The following is a 6,000-nucleotide window of genomic DNA, read 5'->3' as shown; positions in this document are numbered from 1 at the left end:
ATCATTTTGATTTATGTATTGATAATGTGAACTATAACTGATTTTTGAATATTGTTGTTGTATCCTTCAACCTCACTGAACTTATTAGTTCTTACAGTTTTTTAGTCAATTCCTTGGGATGTTTTGTATACAAAATCATGTCATCAGCGAGTAGAGATAGTTTTATGCCTTCCTTTCCAATCTGGGTGTATTTTATTTCTTTATTACTTAATTGCCCTGTTCAGAACTTCCAGTGCAACATTGAATAGAAGTGGAAAGAGCAGACATCCTTGTCTTGTTCTTGAGTTCCTAATCTTCAGGAGAAAGCATCCAGATTTTCACTATTAATGTTAGTGGTGAATTTTTCATAGATTCACATTAAAGTATTTAGGGATAAGGGCATCCTGTCTGCAACTTACTCTCTCAAAGGATACAGACAATAATAATGGTGTGTGTGTATGTATATGTTTATGGAGAGAAAGAGAAAGAATGAATGAATGAATACGGTAAGGTTAATGTGGTAAAATGTTAACAACTGGGGAATTTTAGAGAGCCACACTCTTTAGTATGTTTTCCTGAGCCCTTTTTTTTCCAATTGAAAGGATTTACTGAGTGCTGCCTGATCTATCCAGGGGTCTCGCCGTGGGTTTGACAGCCTTATCCTTGGTTTGATCTTTGCTGAAAACTCAGTACCATTCTTATGTTTATCTTTCATTATTTGGAGTTGAGCAGGATTTTCCTCTTCCAATGCTGTAAGTTCTAAATTTCTGTACTCTCGATTTTCTTGTGTTCTTGCTTATAAACCTGCCAGCTATTTCTGAACCCATCTGTCAAACATAGCTAATGTTAACCAATCTCTTTCCTTAAAATTGAAAGTCCAGAGGCACAGCATCTGCCTTCGAAGTTATCACAGGCAATAGTTTTACCATACACTTTGCCACAGCATAACGTGGATCACCATCTATGCTCAAAATGTTCTATTTTTGGCCAGTGGGAGATCTTTGAAGCTGGCTCCTGTATCATTTTGCTTATTATTCTTTGAACGCATTTCACATTTTTTTTTTTTTTTTTGAGATGGAGTTTCGCTCTTGTTGCCCAGGCTGGAGTGCACTGGTGCAATCTCGGCTCACCGCAACCTCCGCCTCCTGGGTTCAAGCGATTCTCCTGCCTCAGTCTCCTGAGTAGCTGGGATTACAGGCATGCGCCACCATGCCCAGGTAATTTTGTATTTTTAGTAGAGACAGGGTTTCTCCATGTTGGTCAGGCTGGTCTTGAATGAACACATTCTTACTTTCTGGCAAAACTAGATATTCCAGGTCCACCTTATACTTTTCCTGCCTACCCCTAATCAGGCATTTATTCAAGAGTCCTAGTTCCTTGAATAAAGACGGTATTTACAAACCAAGATCTTACAGTTTTGTGTACTCATTGCTATAGAAATGTCATTGTTTCTAGACTTTTCACAGAAAAAGGTAAGAAATATATGTTTGTTTATACACACAACTGTCTATCTACCTATCATCTAGTTAGCTAGCTAGCTTGAAAACTGAATGTTTACATTGATACCTCCAATTCCAATTCAATAATCCAGCATGTATTCAAGCTTTCCCCCTTTCATATTTGTACCTCCTTTCTGTAAGTGAAAAGCCTGGCTGCCGTTATCCTCAACATATTTGCTTATCTGCTCAATCTCTCCATATGGAATCAGCCTTCCAAACATTCATGCTGTCTTCTTGCCCCCAGTTCTTCTGGACTCACAGATCACATTGACTAAATTCCTTTCACCCAGGCTCCAATGCTGCTGAGCACTCAAGTCACATCAGCTGAGTGTCCCAGTCCAAACAAAAGGGAAGGGGAAGTATATTAGTCTGTTCTCATACTGCTATGAAGAAATACCTGAGACTTGGTAATTTATAAAGAAAAGAGGTTTAATTGACTCACAGTTCTGCATGGCTGGGGAGGCCTCAGAAAGCTTATAATCATAGCAGAAGGCACCTCTTCAGAAGGTGGCAGGAGAAAGAATGAGTGCCAGCAGGGGAAATGCCAGATGCTTATAAAACCATCAGATCTCATGAGATTCACCCATTATCACGAGAACAGCATGGGGGAAACAACCCCCATGATTCAATTACCTCCACCTGGTCCTGCCCTTGACAGAGGATTATGGGAATTACAATTCAATGTGAGATTTGGGTAGTGACACAGAGCCAAACCATATCAGAAGGGACCAAGTTTTTGAAACAATGGTACTATTAAAGAACTAATAATCCTTGACTGAAAGTGTTTGTGACTGTTGGTATCTTAACAAGACCCTTGGGCCTGCAACCCAAAGGCTATTTGTTACCCCAGCAGACGCTAGTCTATCCTGATGATACAACAAGCAATGAGTGGTGAAAATGGGGTAGGAAAAGAGCTATTCCCTAACAGTAATTTCCTCCTCAACTTTAAGCATGCAGAATTTTTATTCCTAATGTGTATGTTTTATTTTATTTTATTTTATTTTTTGAGATGGAGTTTCACTCTTGTTGCGCAGGCTGGAGTGCAATGGCACAATCTCAGCTCACTGCAACCTCTGCCTCCTGGGTTCAAGTGATTCTCCTGCCTCAGCCTCCTGAGTAGCTAGGATTACAAGCATGCTGTAATCCTAGGATTACAAGCATGCTGTAATCCTAGGATTACCCAGCTGATTTTGTATTTTTAGTAGAGATGGGGTTTCTCCATGTTGGTCAGGCTGGTCTCCATCTCCCGACCTCAGGTGATCTGCCCACCTTGGCCTCCCAAAGTGCTGGGATTACAGGCGTGAGCCACCACGCCTGGCTAATGTGTGTGTATATTATAAATATATGTTCTTCTGCCCTAGATGGCTGAATGTATGCATTATATATTCAAAAATATACGTATTACTAGAAGGGGAAAATTACTAACTGCATTCCATTTTGTAACAAAAGTGGATACAAACCCAGTAAAAGCAGTAGCTTATTTACTTAAAAAATAATGTTATTGTATCTTGTTTTCAATTTGAACACTCACAAATTGAATTTTTTTTTTTTTTTTTTTTTTTTTTTTTTTTTTTTTTTTGAGACGGAGTCTCACTCTGTCGCCCAGGCTGGAGTGCAGTGGCTTGATCGCGGCTCACTGCAAGCTCCGCCTCCCGGGTTCAGGCCATTCTCCTGCCTCAGCCTCCCGAGTAGCTGGGACTACAGGCACCTGCCACCACGCCCCGCTAATTTTTTGTATTTTTAGTAGAGACAGGGTTTCACTGTGTTAGCCAGGATGGACAAATTTAAATTTAACTCTGCTTGGAGTTGATGCATGTGTTGCTTTGGACTGGTATTTTGCTGCTCAAATTTGAGATGATCCTGCCAAATGTTATTAGAGTAATAAATGCTAGTGAAAGCACAGTGTGTTACTCTATTCTCGCGCTGCTGTGAAGAAATACTCGAGAATGGGTAATTTACAAAGAAAAGAGGTTTAATTCACAGTGCTGCATGGCTGGGGAGGCCTCAGAAAACTTACAATCATGGCAGAAGTTGAAAGGGAAGAAAGCATCTTCTTCACAGGCATCAGTGAGAGGTGACAACATGCTAGCAGCCCTCGGTTGCTCTCGGCGCCTCCTTGGCCTCGGCCTCCGCTCTGGCCTCGCTCGAGGAGCCCTTCAGCCCACCTCTGCGCTGTGGGGGCTCCTCTCTGGGGCTGACCAAGGCCGGAGCCGGCTCCCTCTGCTAGCAGGGAGGTATGGAGGGAGAGGCCCCGGCAGGAGCCGGGGCTGCGCACGGCGCTCGGGGGCCACCGCGGGTTTTCAGTGGGTGTGGGCTCGGTGGGCCCTGCACAGGGCGCCGGGCACCTGCTGGGCTTGGTCGGGGGTAGGAGCTCCCTCTGGGCTGCCGGAGTGCCCAGGATAGGTGCCTCAAAATCCCGCTGAGAGCGCCAGCGAGAGGTGAAGCTGACTGGGCTTTTCGGAGGGGTGGGGCTTGGAGAACTTTTCTGTCTAGGCTAAAGGATTGTAAAGACACCAATCAGCACTTGGTGTTTAACTAAAGGTTTTTAAATGCACCAATCAGCACTCTGTCAAAACGGACCAATGAGCACTCTGTAAGATGGACCAATCAGCTCTCTGTAAAATGGACCAATCAGCAGGATGTGGGTGGGGCCAAATAAGTGAATAAAAGCAGGCCACCCGACCCAGCAGCGACAGCGTTGTGCTTTCTCTCTTTGCAGTCAGTTTTGGTGCTGGGCACTCTTTGGGTCCGTGTGACGTTTAAGAGCTGTAAGGCCAGTTTGCAGCTTCATTCGTGAAGCCAGCGAGATCACGAACCCACCAGGAGGAATGAACAACCGTGCTGCCTTTAAGAGCTGTAACACTCACTGTTAGAGTCCATGGCTTCATATTTCAAGTCAGCCAGACCAAGAACCCACCAATTCCGGACATACCGGGAAGGAGAATACGCCCCAAGAACCGAAACTGCCAGACGCTTATAAAACCATCAGATCTTGGCCGGGTGCAGTGGCTTATGCCTGTAATCCCAGCACTTTGGGAGGTTGAGGCGGGTGGATCATTTGAGGTCAGGAGTTCCAGACCAGCCTGACCAACATGGTGAAACCCCGTCTCTACTAGAAAAATACAAAAATTAGCCGGCGTGGTGGTACACGCCTGTAATCCCAGCTACTTGGGAGGCTGAGGCAGGACAATTGCTGGAACCCAGGAGGCGGAGGTTGCAATGAGCCAAGATCGTGCCACTGCACTCTAGGCTAGGCTACAGAGTAAGACTGTGTCTCAAAAAAATAAATAAATGAAACACAAAACAAACCATCAGATCTCATGAGACTCACTCATTATCATGAGAACAGCATGGGGGAAACCGCCCTTATGATCCAGTTACCTTGAGCTGGTCCTGCCCTTGGACACGCGGGGATTACAATTCAAGATGAGATTTTAGGTGGAGACACAGTCGAACCATATCACATCGTTTCCAAACTTGGCAAAAATAGCCATTCTATATAACCACTCAGTTCAGCAAATAAATGTCACTGTTTCATTTGAAAAGAGTTATTTCAAATTATAGGAAGAAATCAGTAGGCCAGAGCTCAATCCAAACTCTGAAAACTTGCTGGGACGTGGCCCAGTCGGGTTTTTGGTGGATAACGCTTCACCACCTCTCAAGGGGTCAGCTGTCTCATCCTGGTGAGGAACACCCTGATGAAGAAAAACTGAATCAAGGAGCACTGCTTTCGTTGGTTTTGTCACTTTAGTCTCACACTGGAGGTTGAGAGACACTCTGTGCGATCATGTGTTTCCCACACTTACCCTCTCTAAGCCTCAGTTTCCTTATCTGTGAAATAACACTAGAAACATTAAATCTCTGGTTTCTTCAGGGTGTCAAGTTCTGTGATTCTTCTACCATTAGGATTATTTATTTTCTTAAGCAAGACCTTCTGCCTTGATCAGAAAAATCCTACCAGCTGAAAAGATTTGATGAAGTAGGATTCTTGACTTACAGAAATTAAAAGGCGAGGCTTGGCACATGGCTCACACCTGTAATCCCAGCACTTTGGGCGGCCAAGGCAGGCAGATCACTTGAGGTCAGGAGTTCAAGACCAGCCCGACCTAACATGGTGAAACCTCGTCTCTACTAAAAGTACAAAAATTATCTGGGCATGGTGGCGGGTGCCTGTAGTCCCAGCTATTCAGGATGCTAAGGCAGGAGAATCGCTTGAACCCAGGAAGCGGAGGTTGCAGTGAGTTGAGATCATACCACTGCACTTCAGCGTGGGCAACTGAGCAAGACTCCATCTTAAAAAAAAAAAGAAAAGAAAAGCAAAAAGAAAGTAAATGGCGAATTCACGTGTAGTGCAGGTTCTTGTTTAGTTAACGGGATTCTCTGGAGCCTCTGAAGCAGTTTCACAAACGGAAGTATAAATATAATGATTTAATACGCTAATGATTCTCCTCTGCTCCGGATCATATTTAGAATTTATAATGCATAGGAGATGCCCAGTCCTAACTTCTGAACAACTTGACAA

The sequence above is a fragment of the Homo sapiens genome, chromosome 6 (assembly GCF_000001405.40).
Source record: "Homo sapiens chromosome 6, GRCh38.p14 Primary Assembly".
Classification (NCBI taxonomy): Eukaryota; Metazoa; Chordata; class Mammalia; order Primates; family Hominidae; genus Homo; species Homo sapiens.
Note: the sequence above shows the minus strand (reverse complement) of the source record.